General features: G+C 42.7%; 1 protein-coding gene across 5 annotated transcripts in view; it reads right to left on the reverse strand.

Moving 5' to 3' along the window:
• The window catches only part of ADAM12 (ADAM metallopeptidase domain 12), a 376,087-nt gene extending 356,645 nt beyond the window's left edge, over positions 1-19,442 (reverse strand). For all 5 annotated transcript variants that reach the window (NM_001288973.2, NM_003474.6, NM_001288975.2 and 2 more), the window contains exon 1: positions 19,023-19,442. In NM_001288973.2, the coding sequence (NP_001275902.1) occupies positions 19,023-19,110 (88 nt within the window). In that variant the 5' untranslated portion in view covers positions 19,111-19,442. The remainder of the gene's footprint in view (positions 1-19,022) is intronic.

A 20,917-nucleotide genomic window follows, 5' to 3' on the forward strand; every position in this document is an offset into this window, starting at 1 on the left:
AAAAGATGTTCCTTTAAGATGTTCCTTTCGTATCACTAATATATACTAACTACCTTTTCCATATCAAATATTTGGATACATGGTATTTTTTTTCAAAAAGACTTTCCAAATGTGAAAATTCATTTACATGAAAGGTTGTACAAACACAAAAAATTTAAGAGTAGAGCTTTAGTGAATCACATTTGTTGAAATGAAAAAGCAGCACACCAAGTGGGACTATTTACTCATCATGCCAATATTTATTGAGCAGCTGTGATGTGCTAGGCACGGGGGACCCAACAGAGAATAAGATGGATGTGGTCTCTGTCACCACAGAGCTTAAATTCTAACCTAGAAGACAAACCGTTGATTAGAATGTGATAAGTGCTCTGACAGAGACATAGCATTTTGAGAACATTTAGCAGGGGGACCTTTCCTTGACTGGGGTTGGGTGGGAAGGACCAAGAACCGGCTGCCTGTGAGGAAGTGAAGTCTAAGCCAAGGAGGAGTTCAGCCAAGTGTTGGAGTGAGAGTGGGAAAAGAACTGTCAGGCAAAGGCAATGAAGACACTGCAGTAAAAGGACATGAAACAGCTAAGCAACAAAAATGCAGAAACAGAGCCACCTTACCAATCAGATGCTGCTGCCAGCTCCAGGACTTGTACATAGTGAGTGGACACCTCTGAAAACAGACGCTTTCACCTGTCAAAGCCATTCCTGGTATTTACAATGCTGATTATCTAATTAACTCACTGTGCTAGACTGTTGAGATGGTTCCCAGTGCCCCCGCCTCCTGGTATTCACTCTCATATGTAACCCTGGTAGGGTTAGAATTAAGCAAGTCACTAGGTTAAGAGACTTAGTGACTTGTTTTTAACCAGTAGACTATAGCAATATTCACAGACCATGATTGGATTATACAACTTGTGATTCTGTCTTATTTGCAGATTATATTGCCTTCTCAGTCTGCAGGCCTTGATGAAGCAAGCTTCTATATTGGAGAGAATACTGATTAGGAAAATGGGAACCAGCTAGGAACTGAAACCTTCAGTTCAACAACTCAAGGGACTGAATTCTGCCATGTTTCTGTGAGCTTGAAAGCAGATCCTTCCCAGTTGAGCCTTTGAATGAGATCCAGTCCTGGCTAACATCTTGACTGAAACCAGTGAAAGAAGCTGAATTAGAGGACCCAGATAAGTTGTGCCTAGATTCGTAACCCACAAAAGCTGTGAGATTGTACACAGGTGTGATAGTAAGCCACTAAGTTGTGGCAATTTGTCATACAGCAATAAATAACAAATGCACTCATGCATGTGCATTTATCATGTTTACAAGTATTTTCTACAGCCATCATAGGTAGCAGTTATTAGGTTGAGTCCTGCATTTTATTTGTGAGAGGAAACAGAAGATAGTATACTTAATTATTAAACAGTAAGTTTCTCCTTCAGGAAGAATAAATTTTAGCTGGTAAGTCCACATGTTCCTTTGATGCGAAAATGAAAGGTCAGAGATACCAGGCCCTGCAAATGGGTCTCCAGTCCTGTTTTTCCTGCCAGTCCTTGCAGGTCAGAGCCCACAGGACAAGTTCCTGGGATTCACACAGCTAAAGACTCAAGTATTGTTCTATCTCAGTGTCTTCCTAGGTTCTCTCCTCAAATCCCAATGTCCCAAGATAAACACAAGCTGAGATAGCTGCAAAGGGTCTGGAGTATGGAAGAGTTCCTGGACATCATAGGTCCTCCCTTGGCAGCCCAGTGGTTTAGCATGTGGGCCCTGAAAATCAACTGCCTAGTTCAATCCTGGCTCAGCCTCTTATAAGATGCAAGGGCTAAGGCAAATCATGAGTTCTCTATGCCTTAGTTTCTTCATCTGTAAAATGGAAATAATAATGGCCCATACCTCTAAGGGCCATAGGGATATTTTAACCACATAATTCATGTAAAGGGATTAGTCGAGAGTCTGCTGAATGTTTTGTTAAATGCCGGTGTCATCACTATTAGTTATTCGTGTAAGTCCCATTTCTAGTATATTCCCTATTTGTGCAGTAATTCATGTGCATAATCTCAGCTGCGTCACCTTGTAGCTGTATAACTGCACAAGCTGAATGTCCTAGCCTTGGCTTTCCTATCTGGAAGAAAGAGTGGTCATAGTGCCTGCCTCCCAGGGCATGGTGAGAATGTATGAGAAGCTACTGAACCAGTGCTAGCACAGAAACCACACAGGCAAAATCCCTTTATGGAATTCCTCAATTCTATCCTATGAAGAAAGAGCAATTACCACTCAGAAATGTGATTGTTTTCCAGGTACACAGATAAACCTGTCACCAGGAGCCCTTGGGTGTTGTCTGATCATGCACTGAACTGAGTAAACATTTTAGAAAATTCATTTGCTGCTGTGCAAGTCAGAAGATAATGGTAGCTGCAACTTAGTTTCAGAAAGATTCAGATGAACAATCTTAGTAGTGTGGGAGAGATCTTTCCATTCACTTACGTTTTGCTGTAAATTGGGAAAACACCACCAATATTTGGTCTTAGAGTGGAACATTTCTGTCAGATTCTGGATGTTCTAAATGTGTACTGTTTAGAGCCACAAGGATGTAGAGTGCTTAACGGGCTTTACTGCTGCAATCACCTGCTCTAACTGGTAATTAAGATATAAGTCAAGAGCTTATGTGTCTGCTTCACCCACAAATGTGAGGTTCCTATTTCTGCAGCAATTCTTATTCATGCCAACCCAATACCCTGAGAGGCATGTTAAATTTTATTTGCCTTGCCATTCTACGCTTATCCTCCCTCCCACATCTCTTTCTCAAAAAGCCAGTGGAAGCTGAAGGCTAGGAAAATTCATGCCCCTGGCCTGGGCATCTGCTACCATTCATTCTCTACAGCCCTTATGCCTAGCCCACAGTGAGTCCCATATAGCAGAGAAGAAGGAAACTGGTGACCATTTTGTGTGCTATAAGTAAATGATATTTGAAAGAGTTCACATTATTAACACAATCTCAAATAGTCCTGGTTAACAGAGATGCCCCTAATGGTAGACTGATAAACAACAAAGATGGAAACATGAGATTTAAGGTAGGAGAAAAACGAATAGAAACTGCCTTCCTCTCCCAATTCTCTGCCACCCCCTCTGTCAAGCTTTGGGATTAACTTGGATACCCATCTACCATGAGCAGAAGGGGACGGTGGCTCATGGATGCTGAGAACTTGTGCCGTTCAAGGCATGAGGACAAACCTCAGCACTGAATGAACATATGAACAGTGATACCATGTGCCCCCTGTACCATCAAAAGAGAAGACCTTAAATTACAAAACACATTCCCCAACCTCTCCCTCATTTGGAATTCACCACAACCCAGGGAGGTAGGCTGCATCCTTGCTCATTGTTGACAAATAAACTAAGTTCAGAAAGATTTAGTGGGTTCCTCAAGGTCACACAGCCATAAAGAGGCCAAGCCAGAACTCAGAGCCACTTCTCACTCCAAGTCCAGAATTCTGGCCATGATCCAAGCCACCTGTCAATTTTATAACTACAACGCCAGAACACACAGCACTCTTGACCCACTAAATCCATAAGGAAGTAACATCAGGGGAGATAAGCTGAAGAAATCTCATTATTTTATGTCACTGAAGTCCATAAGAGAAGCAGATGCTTCTACTAGGAGCTTTTGTGCTTGAAAACAGTTGTCTTGATTTAGCTTTACAGACCATATCCTATCCCAGCCCTTTCTGCCTCCCTCTTTTGAAATTGCTTTCTCACTGAGCCTCTATAACCAATGGCTTAGTCTTCAGCAGCACTGAGGGAGAAAGAAGGATGATAATCACCTTTTTAAAGGAGAGCAGAGACAAGAAACAGAAAAGAGACTAAAGTATGTGAGAAAAAAGTTTCAAGAGTACCATCTATTGCAGCTGAATAAATTATGCTCCAAGGAGCAGACTCTCCCTACTAAGAAACTGGAAGTAAAGCTTAGTGAATTGAATAGACTAAATCTGACATGTCCAAATTTTAGTGGCAAATCAGGCGTCTGATTTTCCTGTAGATAAATTAGTGGAGAAATCAATCTATATGGAATCATAGCATTCATTCTGAAGGTTACAAAAATATACAAATGAGTGTCTCCATTGTTGGCTTACTCCATTGTACAATCTTCTTTGTATACTAGAATGTTTAAGTATGGAATGAATTCACTATACACTCCTGGAAGGCTCACATGACTGGAATTCTGTTGACACCTCTGCTGGCAGAGGAGCGGCTTCTGGGAGTGGATGTTGGCCTTGCTTCCCAGCTGTTCTCATTTTGCCTCCGCCAGAGGGAGATGGGAACAGCTGATGGCTTCACCCCCAAAGCTCAGCTTGGCCCCATCATTAGCACATCTCACCCCTGCAGCTGCCAAGGCCAAGACTAACATGCCAGCAGGAAAGCAGCTGACTGACTTTTCTGACTGAGTGTTTGGAGTACTGGAAGTTGAGAATCAAGCTGCCAAGCGGGTTCAACTTATTTTCTGTACATTTTTATGATCCACTCGCTCTAGAGGCCATGAAATGAGGGTGTCTGTTCTTCTCAACACTGTATCCCCAGTTCCTGGCACAAATCTGGGATTACAATAGGCAGCCAACAAATGTGTTGACTAAAAGACCCAAAGAATCATTATCAGAGATGTCTAGTTCTGAAAACACAGTGGACTGAGTTGACACAGCTAGAAAGCCTTTCTACTACAAACACAGAAAAATGTTAAATAAAATGTGACAACCTACATAACTGAACTAGAAAGAAGGGAAAGGAAATTATCAGGGAATTAAGGAATTCCTAGCCAGAGCATCCACCCACTGCCAAAGTCATGGAATCCCAAAGGCCTGGCAGACATAGGACTTCAGCCTGGAAACCATGAGTTCAGTAACAGGAGGTATGATCTTGAACACACAAGTCAGAGAACTCTAGCTAGATCCTTGAATAAAACCAAGCCCAGACAGGCTGCCCTTCCCAAGTCACCAGGGCTAGAAAACCTCTACCAAATGCCACAGGGAAACTTCAAAGTGACATGTCTCCCCAGAGATCTGGTGAGGGTTAGGGAGTTTCGCAAGAGAAATAGAAACTTCAAGCCTTTGCCACATGGGTATGGAGACCAAAATTAGAATAGCCATGTGGTGTAAAATTCCCACAATAACTGGGCTTAGACAAGGGAAATCCCTGAGGCATCTGTCATGAGTAAACAGACTCTGCTCCACAGGAACTCTTCTAATCCAGGGTACATAGGACTCCCATGGAGAGGGTAGCAGTGGAGGGAAAAAAGCTGAAAATGAACTCACAATTTAAAATTGCAAGGCATTGGAAGAGATAATCCACAGTAATACAGAATCAGCATCCTAAGAACTTTAAATAATAACCTGAAATGGATAACAATATATAAATCCCAAATTATTAAAGACATGTAAGAATACAAAGAAAAGATAATAAAAGATAATTTTAAAATATTACATTTTAAGAAGATCAGGCAAGTTTGAAAAAGAGCAAAACAAAGCTTCCATACGTGAAAAAGTAAAGATATTGAAAAATGTGAAGTCAATAGACAGTTTAAACAGCATTTAGACACAGCTCAAGAGAGAATTGGTAAACTGAAATTTAGACTTGTAGACATCACCCAGAATATAAAGCAAAGAGTGATAAAGAGATGAAGAGAAGCTAAAAACAGGAGGACTGAATTATAAGGCCCAACTACATATAACAAAAGTTCCAAAGGAAGTGATGAAGCAAAAACGGCAAGGCAGTAATTAAAGAGATGCTTGCTACATTTTTTTAAATAATTGATTGGATTCAAGAAGCACCACAAGGCCAGAAATACACAAATTTAATATAAAACCATATAAAAACACACGAATAAAATACAGAACTACACATACACAAACACACACACTCCACCACCACCACCAAAGAACTACCTTAAAAGTAACCAGAGAAAAAGGCAGGTTTAGTGCAAAGGCACAGTCATTAAATGAAAGACTCCTTAACAACAACAGGAGACGCAAGGATACAACAGGTAATATCTGCTAAAAGAAAAAAATCGCCAACCTCTGGTTTGGTTATCCATACATACCTAGACTAACATTCATGAAAAAGAAAAACATTTTCCAGGCAAACAAATATAGGGAATTTGCTACTCAGAGACCTTCAATGAAGACTACTTCAATAAGAAGCGACTGGATCCAGAAGTGGAAGTGGTTTGCAAGAAGCCATGGTTAAAAAAAAAAAAAGAAAGAAAGAAAGAAAAAGAAAGGAAAGAAAGGAAACTAGTTGCATTGGATAAATCAGCATAAGCCTGGACTGCTCAGCACAGAACAAAGCCTAGTATTTCCCCACTATCTTTTTTGATGAGAGATGGGTTTCAAAATGGCAGAACTAAAATTCTAGACAATAATAAAAAAACAGGAGGCACAATGAAGGGCACTAAACCATGGTTAGCTTGTAATTGTTTGGGAGGAGGCCAAAGTTACTGACTACCTTTGGACTCTGTGTCTGAAATGCAAATGTTAAAAATTTAATGGTACTACTAAAACTGTGGAAACAGAATATGTAACCTCTAAATTAACAGAACTGGGAAAGAGTAGGTATAAATAATCCTACAACAATAGAAGAAAGAAAAGAAAGGTGTAAAGATAGCAAAAGTTAGTTATTTTCATTAAAGTTAAAAAAAAAAAAAACAAGGAGACTAGCAATCACTTCTTCTTCTTCTTTTTTTTTTTTCTTTCTTTTTTGAGACAGGGTCAGGGTCTCACTGTGTCTCCCAGGCTGGAGTGCAGTGCAAGATCACAGCAGCCTCGACCTCCTGGGCTCAAGCAATCCTCCCACCTTAGCCTCCCTGCGTAGCTGGGACTACAGGTGCATGCCACATATATGACTTTTTTTTTTTTGTAGAAATGGGGTGTCCTTATGTTGCTCAGGCTGGTCTCAAATTTCTGGGCTCAAGTAATCCCCCCTCCCCACCCCCCAGCCTCTCAAAGTGCTGAGATTACAGGTATGAGTCACTGGGCCTGGCTAATCCTTTTGTTTATCATTGTAATGGATATGCTACCCAATGAAACAAGAAAAATAAAGGAAGTAGAATGAATAAGGAATGTATAGGAAAAAACAAAACTTACCCTTTCAGGTGATTATTCTCTTAGAATTTCTATGACGTCAATCTACAGACAAACTATTAGAATAAAAATTGAGCAAACACCTACCTATGATTTGAATCATCAGGATTAAAAAAAAATTGAGCAAGATTTCTGAATTCAAAGTCAACCTACAAAAATAAGTAACATTCATATACACTGAAAAGAAAACATCAATTACAACTTTCAATAAGGAAATGACTCCACAGATAAAACAAGAACAGCCATGAACTGGCACTTGTTGAAACTGAGTGATAGAAACACAGGTATTGATTGCAGTCTGTCTACTTCTGTGTATGTTTAAAAATTTCATATTAAAAAGTTAAAATCTTTTAAAAATAGTGATACCATCTAAAGTGACAATAAATCTATTAGGTACTTAGGATATCTAGAAATATATCTTACAAAGATGCACAAGAACATTGAAGAGAATATTATTGAAAACTTATTGAATAGCATTAAAGGGAACAAATAAATAGAGAAATCACCACATTCATGATGGGAAGCCTTGATGTCATGAGGATGTCAATTCTCCCCTAAATTAGCCTACAAGTCCCCATACAGTATTTTGCAGAACTTAGCAAGAAGATTCTGAAGTTCATATGGAAACACTAAAGTTTCAGGGCTAGTCAAGATAACTTTAAAAGGAGAGGAGGGGAGAAGGAAAGGAGACATTAAACTTTATACTTTATTGAATACTTAGCATGGTCTGAGCACTGTTCAAAGCACTGTATATGTATTCTTTCATTTCACCTGCACTACGGCCCTGTGGAGGTAGATATGATCTTTATCACCATTTCATCAAGGGAAAATGGGGAAAGAAAAAGATTACATAGTTTGTTCAAGGTTTGGGGTGAGCAACGATCCCAATTTGCCTGGCACTGAGAGGTTTCCTGTGATGTGTCATCTTCAGTGCTAAACCTAGGAAAGTCTGGGCACACAGGATGGTTAGTTACTTTCTCAACATCACATGTCAGGAGCCAGGTGGCAGAGCTGATCTGCAAACTCCAGCAAGCTGGCTTCAGTGTCTGCCCTCTGCACCACCACATACCAACTCTATTAGTCAGGGTTCTCTAGAGGGACAGAACTAATAGAGAGGTATATAAAGGGGAGTTTATTAAGGAGTATTAACTCACATGATCACAAAGTCCCACAATAGGCTGTCTGCAAGCTGAGGAGCAAGGAAGCCCGTCTGAGTCCCAAAGCTGAAGAGCCCGGAGTCCGATGTTCAAGGGAAAGAAGCATCCAGCACAGGAGAAAAATGTAGGCTGGGAGGCTAAGTCAGTCTAGTCTTTTCACATTTTTTTTTTCTGCCTGCTTTATGTTCTGGCCATGCTGGTAGCTGATTAGATGAAGCCCATCCAGATTAAGGGTGAGTCTGCCTTTCCCGGCCCACTGACTCAAATGTTAATCTCCTTTGGCAACACCCTCACAGATACACCCAGGATCAATACTTTGCATCCTTCAATCCAATCAAGCTTAACCATCACGCCAACCAATCTAAACACTGAAGGCTTATTGTGAAGTACGGGATACTGAGAACAATATGATGCTGGAACGGAGGTAAATAGAACAGTAGGACAAAGAACCCAGAAGCATATCTGTGTGTGCTTGCTGGTTATCAGAAGTGGAAAAGGATTCAACAAATGTTACTAGAGCAATTGGTTTTCCAGATGGGGGGAAACAGACATGGATCTCATACAAGAAATAAAAATTAAATTCCAGTTATTCTAAAAGCGAAAAGCAAAAATTTTAAATTTAGAAGAAATTATCAACATTTATTTCGGAGCTCAGGAAAGAGAGGAGGATTGTTTAAACTAAACTTAAAAAGAAACATGAGTAAATAAAGATAAATAATTCAAAGAAGAAATACGAAGAACATATAAACACATAAGAATCTTAGAGTCTTTAGTAATGAGAAAAATGCCAATTAAAACAATGAAATATTTAACATCCAGCTTGGCAACATTTAAAAAGCCTGAAATTACCAAGTATTAACAACCACATAGGTAACCAGAGCTCTCCAATAAGTAGGCACATAAATTGGTACAACCAATTTGGAAAGCAACTTAACAAAATACGTTACAGTAAAAAATTTGTGTACTCTACAGCTTAGTAATTCACTTGTAATAGGTTCCCTAGAGCTTACACCCATACCTAAGATAGCAAGGATCCTCTCACCATTGCAATATCAAAAAGTTGGGGAAAACATATTTATTATCAACAGAGGAGTACACAAATTATGATTTAGTCATTCAATTAAAAGGAATGAACCAAGCACATATATGAATAAGTCTAAAATATATATTGATTTTTTAAAAAGTTGCAGAAGGTTGTCATATATAGTAGGGTACCATTTACTTAACAGTTAAATACATGAAGAGTATCAGATATTGATTAGGGGTATGTGTGTGTGTACACACACACGAACCAACCAACTTCACAGTAGTATAGCCTCTGCAAAAGGAAGACTGAGATAAAATAGTCTGAATGGGTGGGGAGAAAAGGTATGGCTATAAATATATCTTTAACATTTTACATCTTTAAATGTTGAAAGTTCTGAAGTACATATAGTAGAATCTGGCTGGCAAAAATATGGGTGTATAACTTATTCTATGTCCATTTTTCAACTTTAAAATTGTCATATTTTAGAAATGAATGATGGGGCCAGATTTCTTTTTCAATCATCTTTTATATGATATTCTCAAATTATACTGAAATTGGCTGAAATAATGATTTTAGCTTAAAAGTTTTACTTAGTATGCTTAATTTCAGGAATGTACCTTTCCATAGGCGGACAACAGCTGCATTTTGAGGTATAATGTAGACCCTAAATCCTAATGCAGGCTCTGAAGAACACTACCAACAACAACAAAAAACCCAGGATGAAAACAAAACCAAAATAGGAAGGCTTTTACACTGTTGGTGGGAGTGTAAATTAGTTCAACCATTGTGGAAGACAGTGTGGTGATTTCTCAAGGATCTAGAACTAGAAATACCATTTGACCCAGCAATCCCATTACTGGGTATATACCCAAAGGATTATAAATCATTCCACTATAAAGACACATGCACACATATGTTTATTGCAGCACTATTCACAATAACAAATACTTGGAACCAATCCAAATGTCCATCAATAACAGACTGGATAAAGAAAATGTGGCACTTATACACCACGGAATACTATGCAGCCATGAAAAAGGATGAGTTCATGTCCTTTGCAGGGACATGGATGAAGCTGGAAACCATCATTTTCAGCAAACTATCAGAAGAACAGAAAACCAAACACCGCATGTTCTCACCCATAAGTGGGAGTTGAACAATGAGAACACATGGACATAGGGAGGGGAACATCACACACTGGGGCGCCTGTCAGGGGGATGGGGAGCTAGGGGAGGGATAACATTAGGAGAAATACCTAATGTAGATGACGGGTTGATGGGTGCAGCAAACCACCATGGCACCTGTATACCTATGTAACAAAACTGCACGTTCTGCCATGTACCCCAAAACTTAAAGTATATTAAAAAAAGTTGCTCATATATCTAGGCAATCCTTCATGTACTCCCAGTATTTCAATTTTTTTTTTTAAAGCAAGACTAGATTCTCAGATCACATTCAGATTCAAGTGAGCATATCTCTCAAAAGCAATGTCTCCATCCTATCCTGGCTTTAATTACAAACATAGCAACACATAATACAAGGAATCTTTTGGCCAAATTGCAGACCAGTGCTCACCATGCCTGCTAGGGGAAGACATGTCAAGGTGTTTCAACATTTCTAAGAATGGATCATCTAAACTGATTAAGCAGTTCAAGGCTTCCAGGAGTAGGTAAACAGACAGAAAACGTTATCCAATGAAGCTGTCCAATTTTTTAAATAGTTGCCAAGAAGCTGAGCTCTTAATGTAGCCTTGGAATGACATAAAAGCTTAAAGGATAAAAAATATCAATATGATGCTGAATTACTCGGCTTTTCCATCCCATCTATCAACTGGAGGCAAGGTATATTGGGCATTCAACAAAGCACAAAAGAAACAGGGTGAAAAATGGGCTGGAGAAAGTATGAAGATTGAAATGGCAGCCTGTGAGAAAGTGTAATATTCAATGTGCACATTTCAATTGGCAAATAATGTTCATTTGAACTGCATTACCGTTCTGCTGAGATCCAAGCTAATTACAATCTCACTGCTATAGTTATGGCAAAGATAGGTTATGAACTGTTTGCCACAGCTAGGTTAAGATCCAGTCTCCAGCGTGAGGTAGACTAGATTGCCTTGCCTCTGACACTGCTGATCTCACTATCTGAGGCTATCATTTCCTTTTCTGTAGAATGAGGGTACTAACAGGAACAACAAGATTCTTTCAGCAGAATTGCAGGAGATAGTGCACGCAAAGACCTGCGCACCGCTCCTGGCACTGACGCACTCGACAAACTCCTTTTTAAGTAACAATGTGCTGGTATGACAATTTTAGGTTTAAAAAAATACTAACCAAACATATGAAGAAACAACTATGAAAAATGCACAGCAACTACTCTCAAAAACATTGTCTAGATTATACCAATTTCACTTCTCCAGCCCAGAGACCTGACAATTAAAGAGCATGGACATACTCCAGAGCTGCTTCATATAGCTCCCTGTGGGCACACAGCCAAAGGGTTGTAGGGCTTAGCCATTTGGTACAGAAGAAACATCTGAAAATTCTACACCTGTCTTTGTAAATCATGGACGCTGCAGAAACCATTTAGCTTAAGGAGGCCTCTGAAACACACTCTGATACAAAATTTTTTTTCTGCAACTCTGATGAGTTCATTACAGCATCATCTACACCAGGAAGGAATGTGCTTAGCTTCTTTAAATGATGTAGCTACATTCCTTAAGAAAAATTTTGTTACAGTTTCCACAGCTGCAACATTTATCTAATTAGGTATATGTTGACTTTGAGTTTTTATAGATTTTGAAAAGAAAGTTTTGAAACATTTAAAAATGAGTTTAATTTTTGTTTCCACAAGGAAGGAGTTAGAAAGTGCCAAATGACAAGTGAGAGAAAGAAAATACATCTATATGTCGAGCATGGTAATCAAAGCCTTGGCTAAATTCTAAATGTACATGGCGGAGTCACAGGTGTTTATCTGTATGCCCTCCTGAAACCCTGCCATAAGGGAATAATTGTAATAACAATAATAGGCTGCGTACCATGGTTCAATGCCTGTAATTCCAACACTTTTGGGGGGCTGCGGCAGGAGGATGCTTGAGCCCAGGAGTTCAAGACCAGCCTGAGGCAATAGAGTGAGATTCTGTCTGTATAAAAATTTAAAAATTATATTTTTTAAAAAAAAACTTTTGAGACAGACTCTCACTCTGTCACCCAGGCTGGAGTACAGTGGCACGATCTCAGCTCACTGTAGGCTCTGCCTCCCAGGTTCAAGCGATTCTCCTGCCTCAGCCTCTGGAGTAGCTGGGATTACAGGTGCCTGACACCATCCCTGGCTAATTTTTGTATCTTTTTTTTTAGTAGAGATAGGATTTCAACATGTTGACCAGGCTGGACTCAAACTCCTGACCTCAAGTGATCCATCTGCTTCGGCCTCCCAAAGTGCTGGGATTACAGGTGTGAGCCACCATGCTTGACCAAAAATTTAAAAATTAAGAACAAATTAGTTGGGCATGGTAGTGTGTGCCTGGAGTCCCAGCTACTAGGGAGGCTGAGGTAGGAGGATCACTTGAGCTCAGAGGGTCAAGGCTGCAGTGAGCTATGATTGCACCACTGTACATCAGCCTGGGTGACAATGCAAGACCCTGTCTCAAAAAAAAAAAAACAATAATAATAATTAAAACACAAAGCAGCAAAGCTTTGGAAGATGGAAAGGGGATGGACAAGTTGTTACCTATTTAGCAGGGAAGAGAGAATGGGAACTTATGACCTGGAAAGGAGGGCAGCCATCAGAAGGTGGGATGGATAAGCAGAACCCTGGAAAGGTTTGGGAACAGGGGGCACTGGGCACTGGAACAGGGGGCACTGTATGGGCCAAGGCCAATACAGGCTGAGGCTGAAAACCTGTATAAGGAGAAGATAGAGCCCTAGATCCCCTGCAAAGCCAACACAGCTAGGTGTTGCCTGTCCTACTCCGACCAACATGGGAGGTGTATTTCCTGAAGACACTGAAGTAGAGAAGTTCTGTACATAAGGACTCCCAGGAATCGTGAAGGTGGGTTAGCAAAGTGCTAAACGGAAAACAAAAGGATTAAGTTTAAACAATACAAGCATACTTAACGGCAACACTATCTTCTTTTCCCCTGCTCAGTTCACAGGCCCTAGAGCCAGGCTTAAATTGCCAGAGTGAAATCGCCTTGGCAGGAAGCTGAAGGATTCTTCCTTGGAGAAATTGACCAGCCTAAGAAAAATAGAGTCTGTGATATGTGGACGTCTCTCAGCAAAATGAATGTTCATCAGTCAGTAAATCCATCTGTGGAAGTACACAGAACTTCTAATCAGCTCTTTAATGCCCCGTTATTAAATATCAACAGAGAGCCAAAAATCAGACATTTGAAGAAAGTCAGACAGATATTAAACAAATGGGGGGGAAAGAGAATCTCAAAGCTAACAATGAGAAAGAGGTGAACAAAAAATGTTTAACAAGTAATGACTAACACATTCAGAGTTAATAGCAATTTTACATCCATTACAAAAAAGAAGAGGACACTATAATAAGAATAAAAGAACATTCATTGCACAAGAAACCTCTTGGAAATTAAATGTGGTAGGATAAAATTTAAAATTATTTATTTATTTTGATACAGGGTCTCATTCTGTCACCGAGGCTGGAGTAGCACGGCATGATCATGGTTCCCTGCAGCCTTGACCTCCTGGACTCAAGTGATCCTCCCACCTCAGCATCCTGAGTAGCTGGAACTAAAGGTGTGTGACACCTTGCCCAGTTAATTTTTTAAAAATTTTTTGTTGAGATGTGGTGGGGTTGGGGGGTGTGGCTCACTATATTACCCAGGCTGGTCTTGAACTCCTGGGCTCAAGCAATCCTCCTGCCTCAGCCTCTCAAAGTGCTGGAATTACAGACATGAGCTACCGTGCCCAGCCAAAAAATTTAAATAGAAGGGTTGGGAAATGAAATTAAATAACTGTCCCAGAAAGTAGAACAAAAATGTAAAGGGATGAAAAATAGATAAGAAAATTAAAGGATGTTTTCAGGAGGCTGGGACATTCAGCTAATAGCAGTTTCAGAAAAGCTGTGGTAAAAACAGTGAGGAAGAAATAATTGAAGAACGAATATAAGAAAGTATACTAAAACTTGACAACATGAATATTCAAACTGAAGGGGCCCACTGAGTTCCTAACAATTACTGATAAGAGCATTGCTAAAGCACATAATCATAAAACGCAAAAATACTAGTGACAACGAAAAAAGATAATCACTTCCAAAAAGAAAAAAAGACTACATTTAAAGGTTTGACAAGCAGAATACCATCAACTTCTCAAGCAGTAATGGCCATAGAGACATTGAAGAAATGCCTTATAAAATACTGAGAAAATATGATTTCTTTCTTGGAATTTTATACCTAAACAAACTAGCAATCAAGGGTGGAATGAATGAATGTGTGTTTATCTATATATTTTATACAAGGTATGCCAGAGACACATTCCAACCTTTGTTTTTACTCACAGAACTGTTTTGTTTGAAGCAGCAATGTACATAGTTAAAAATATTTACTTTTCTAGTATTCTGTACAAGCTAGCAGGGGCCCTGGGTCACAGTCTAGCCAATGATATCTAAGACAAAATCTACTACAAACGCTTATGGAAATATTATTTTCCTGATGAAAATAGATTTGACTGGTTCTGCCTTTTGTCCTTTCTGCTGTATTACTGCCTGGAATGCAGATATGATGCCAAGAGGTACAGCAGCTATCATGAGACCATGAGGAAGTAAGCATAAAGGCAAAAGTCAACATCTACGTATCGCAGATAGAAATAAAAGAAAGTGCTTGGGTCCCCGATCACATCAGTGACCTGACACACCAGTTACACCAGCCACCAAAATACTTACTTTGCAACTGCTTGTAAAGAATACGAGCTTGTAAAAATTGCTGCTGTCATGTTTTTTTGTTATTTGCAGCTGAAAGCATCCCTGACATATTCACAAGTTATCAAAAAAAGTTGTATCTTCCCAACACCCATCCTCAGGAAGTTACTGGAAAACGTGCTCCACAGAAATGAGGAATGAACTAAGAAAAATTTACAGTGCTCAGAATACAGATGATTCAACACAGGAAGGATGCAAGAGGAATTCTTAGCGTCTTGGTAATAAGGGTAGTCCTGAGATAACAGCTGTAATGTATGCCTAAAAAGTAACCCGTGAGTCACATTGGAACAGGAGGATGAGGGGCTCTAGGAAAGATGACATCAGGAAAAAAAAAATCATGGCTAGACTACCTGATGTGTTGGATCATATTGAAAGGAGGTTGATAGTTCTTCCAGAAAGTGTGGAAGTAAAATAGAGGTTGCGTAAGGGATGGGAAAAACCAAAAACCAAGTATTCTCCCTACTCTCACTCTCAGTACCGAATGTTTCACCTCTGGTCACCCAAATGTGTGGGAGTTTCTCCCCACCAACCACCAGTTCTTCAGTAGAGATCAACTGGGAGTCCTACAATTTAACTCTATTCTGACTCTATCTACCTGGAGAAAGCATCAGATCACACAGGTTAAGGGCTCAGTCCCACAAGACTTCCCCCCAATGTCAGATGCCAATCACAAGTAGTAGGTTGTCACACCTATACTTCTGACCAACTAGCTATAAGTTGGGGGTCCACAACCCCCTTCTCAGGTTCAGTTAATTTGCTAGGTAAGCTCACAGAACCACAGAAAACACTTGCTTATATTTACCAGTTTATTATATTAATGAAGGATGTAATTAGGGACACAGATGAAAAACAGTTGGAAGAGATGCAAAGGGCAGAGAATGTGGAAAGGGATACAGAGCTTCTGTGTCCTCTCTAGATACGCCACCCTCCAGGAACTTTGATTTGCTCAGCAATCTGGAAATTCTACAAACCTTGTCCTTTGGGGGGTTTATGGAGGCCTAATTACACAGCCATGATTAATTACACCATTGGCGATCAAGTCAACCTTCAATCCGTCTCCCCTCCCTGGAGGTTGCAAGGGAGGTGGCACTAAAAGTCCCAACTCTAATCATGCCTTAACAAGCTCATTAGCATACAAAAGACACTCTTAATACCCCAGAGATTCCAAGGATTTTAGGAGTTCTGTGCCAGGAACCAGGGGCAGAGACATATTTCTTATTATATCACAATATCACAGCTTGGTGCACAGAAAATAAAGCAAACAAAAATCAAGACAAGGCAATCATTAACTCTAGGAAAAGCAAAAAGTTACAAGAGGGATGAAATGCCATAAAACACTGCACGGCAAAACAGTGAAAAGTATTTGCAAAGTCTTCTTAGTGCAAACATTGAATTTTTTTTTAATGATGGCACTACTATATTGGGTAGTTGAAAAGAAGAGAAGGCAGTGTGTCTGGAGTAGGGTGAGCAAAGGGAGAATGGTAAGAAAGGAGATCAGAAAGGAAAACAGGAATTAGGTCATGCTGAGGTTTGGATTTTCTTTCCTAAGGGTGCTAGAGAGCCACTGGGGAGTTTTAGACAGGAAACTTGAATGCTCTAACTCATGTTTGAAAATAATAACTTTGGCTCTATTGTGGAGGAAAATATACCATGCAGGGATAAGGTGAAAAGCCAGTAGGCCCGTTGGGTAAGAGGGATAAGAGGCTTCTGCAGAAGAGATTTTTCCTATAATGTGGCCTGGACTGGGAAAGGCACACTTCGGGATGTAAGGAAGTGGGTAGGTGGGAATATACTTAGGAGGTTGGTGGCTTACGGAGTAAAAAGAGGGACACAGGGATGACTTCCTGCATGTCAGCACAAGGCATGTGGAGAAGGCAGAGGAGGTTGTTACTGGGTTCAGGAAGGCTGGGGAGGGAATGATTTGCAACTAGAGAGTCTGGGATCTAGGGTTCTGTTTTGGACTTGTTAGGCCGAGTTGCCCCAGAAAGTACCAAGTAGGCAACTGTGCCAGGGCTCAGGGTACAGACAAGGCTAGGGAGAAACTCAGAATATGCTCAGACTCAACAGGTAGTAATTCCTCCTTTTCTCTTGCCAATGCAAAGAAATGTTTCATTATATGTTTGGCGTTTTATACGGCCTCAATGGTATGATTTGGGGCACTGATTGATTGAAGACTTGATACTGAGAATCTAAGGGTAAACAAGCAGTGAATCCTGGAATATATCACAATAGGTAACCCATTCAAAGTGCTTAGGCCTCCCTGGTTTTCTATTTTGGGTCATATCTGTCTTAAGGAAACACTCTCTCTACCAAAGCTGAACTCATAAAATAGTAAAAGTCCTCCCCCGCCCACACACACAAGAAATAATTTCCCATTATTAGCTGGATTTAATAAACATTTTCTTCCAAAAAAAAAATTTGTCCCTGCTCAGTAGACTTCTCTTTATGTGTACAAAGCACGTGCCAAGTTAAAGACCATGTCAGGCACACTTTGAGACACTTTCCGTTTTTTAAAAAGTTCTTTCTTAATAAACATTCAAAAGGACCAATTTGTTTAAAAGTCTTTCAAAGCACAATTCACTACAGGTCGTAGAGTTCTTTAAACCCTCAGCAGGATTCTTTCTTGACTTTCTCATTGCTTTGTGCAATCTTTGTATTTAATCATTTATCCCCGAATTGGTCTTCGCAGTGTGGCTTTTAACAAGAACTGGGTTTTAGCCACATTACAGTAGACGCGGTGGGGGCGGAGGGCAGCAGTGGCAATCGCAAAATAAAACGTATCATAAAGTGGTAACGGTTCGTGATTTAGGCCAGTTGTTGAAAAATAAATGCCTGTTATATAGAATCACAGAACTTGAGAGCTTGCGGCCAAGGGAAGTCGTTCATCGGTGGACCGACAGCGCCCCGGGCGGCAGAAAGAAGGCGGCGGCGGCGGAGACCCGGGGAAGTTGCCGGATTTTTAAAAAGGCACCTGCTGGGTGAGTCCTCACTGTGCAAACGGGAGCCACAGGTGCCCGATTTTAAGGGGCTACAACTCGGGAAAACCTAAGTCTGTAAAACTAAGTACGTTAAACTAAGTAAGTTCTCGCTGTGCACCAAGTTGATGGGGGCGATTATTTACGGCGGAGAAACTGAGTGGAGGAAGGAGGGAGAATTCCGCTAAAGTTTGCCTGCGACTGACAGCTAGGGAGTGACCTGGAAGCCAGGAAGAGGGGCAGAGAGGAAACTAAAGAAGTAGGTAAGAGAGTCAGTTTATGAAAATAGAGCCTGCTGTGGAGAGCAGCAGGCACACCTGCGGAGGAGGGGGCTGCCTCACCTGCGGGGCCGCTGCGCGCCCCCCTAAGTGTGTTAGCGGGGGAGGCGGGGCTGGAAAGGAAACCTGGTGAAGGGCTGGCCCGGAGCCTGGGGTGGGGATATTCACTGCGGGATAGGGCCAGCAAGAGGACCCGACACGCATCGTCCCGAGTGACACGTGTAAATGTCAAGATACAGAGACATCTGCAAATGTCACCCAAGAGGGTGAGGACGGGGGAGCGGTCCCGAGGCTGTGCCCTCCGGGGCAGGTACTGGCTCCTGTGGGGCTGCGGGCCAAGTGTCGCCCTTCCCCAAGGAATTGGCACCTGGGGGGGGGGGGTCGGTCTCGCCGCGCTGGAAGCGCAAGCCCCGGGGCTCCGGAGATGCGCCGGGGCGCGTCGCCCCTCGGGGCAGCCCTGGACCTCGGCGCGCCCAGGCGCAGCGTGCGGTGCCCTCGGCGGGGCGGGCAGCGAGCCGCCCTAGTTCGGCGACTTACCTCGGGCCTCGCAGGGCGCGAGCAGAGCACCGGCCAGGGCGAGCAGGAGGGCGCGGGCGGGGGACACGGGCAGCGGGCGCGCTGCCATCGTCGCCGGCCTTCAGTGCAGCAGCTCTCGGGCCCGGCGGCGAGCGCTGCACCATCCCACGCGGGCGCCGAGCCGGGGCCGGGCGTCGCGACCGGAGGGATTTCCTGCCTCGGCGAGTCAGCTCCGGAGCCCTCGCGCAGCGCCCGCGCCGCCGCTGAGCTCTTCTAGCCTTTCATTTTTAAAAAAGTTTCCCCCCGTGTGTGTGCGTGCGTGCGCGCGCGCGCGCCGTTCTGGCACAAGCCAGCCTTGACCGTTGCAATAAATGAGCAAACTGTCCGAGTTGGCCCGGGGACTAGGAAGAGCGTTAGTGAGAGAAGGCAGGCCTGTGAAATGGATCCACGGCCAGCAGTCACCGTTCTTATTACCGCGGAACAAATTATTGTCTCCCCCGCACCCCCGCCAGTTGGCGGCGTCCCGCGGGTCCTAGAGACCGCTCGGGTCCCCCCGCCAGGGTCCCGCCCCGAGCCGCGGCTCGCTCACCCCCGAGGGTGGGCGGCTCAGACGTGGCTCAGTGGCGTCCGGGCGCCCGGAGCGCACACGTCCCCGCCCCAGGATGATGTGGCCGCAGGGCCCGGGGCGCCCGGCTGCCAAGCGCACATGCGGCGGCACGGTCCAGCTTTTCAGGCTGAAGCTGGAAACGATGACTCTGCTACTCGCTCCCCGGCTCTCTGGGAACCCTCGGAGTGCGGGTCAGGTCTCCACCGCGGCCCACAGCCCGGCGCGCGACCCCGCCCGGCCCTAAGCGCCCAAAGGGGCATCTCTCGCCCGAGAAACAAGCTTGGACTCGCAGGCACAAGACACCTGGGCGTTACTTTTGATCAACAGTGTTAGGTTTTACGTTGATAGATTGGCTCACGTTTCCATTCCATGACCTGGACCCAGAAAAGGGTGTACAGTGACGTTCCCCAAACTTTCCTGATTGTAAGAAGCACCTGGGTTGGCTTGTTAAAAAGATTCCCGGGCGCCCTCCTACGCTTTCAGAATGAGACTCTCCAGGCTGTGAGGCCAGGGGAGCCCAGGGTGTTTGGAGAAACACCAATGAAAGAATGGTGCGCCTTGCCTTCTCATCCTTGTTCCGGGCTGACCCCACCTCTTCAGCCTCGCTCGGCCCTCAGGGAGACCATGAAAAGCAGCAGCGAGGGGGCCCGCACAGACAGAAATGGCTGGAGCTATGGAGGATGGCTGATGCCCACCCTGCGGGTTACCATGATTCCCAACCTTGGGGACTTATTAGAATAGTAAGAGTTAAAGACATTGCCAGCCCCAGACACCAGTTAACTCAGTTTCCCACAATGCGTGGAGCTCAATAGTTTTCAAAGCCTCAGGTGATTCTACTGTGCTGCTCAGACCTAGGACCACCTGCAGAAATTCCATCCTGGTCCTGCGACCTCGCACCGATTCCTGACGGAGCACCCACTCCTAGGAGGCGGTTATCCAGCATTTGAGGAAGCTGCCTTCCATACCATCTCTTCCCACTGCAGAGGAGTTTTCTCAGGAGTTCCCTCCCACGGCAGGTTTTGCAGTGTTCCCAAAACCCAGGTCGATCCTCCTAACAAGGTGCAGGACTTTCTTTTTAAAAAACCTTAGTGGGAAGCACAGGCTCTCCAGCCCCCTTCCCAATGCTGCCATATCTCAGTACCAGATCTGGAAACCAGGCCTGGTTCAAGCCCTGTGTCATATCTAACCGTACTACCAACCAGCGTTGCAGTGTACTTCTTTTGTTCATTCATTCAGTCAATCTACATGAGCAACCCTATGTTAGAACTTGGGAAACTAAACGAGAAAGCCTCTTGCCTTCAAAGACTTT

The sequence above is a fragment of the Homo sapiens genome, chromosome 10, assembly GCF_000001405.40.
Source record: "Homo sapiens chromosome 10, GRCh38.p14 Primary Assembly".
NCBI classification, from domain to species: domain Eukaryota; kingdom Metazoa; phylum Chordata; class Mammalia; order Primates; family Hominidae; genus Homo; species Homo sapiens.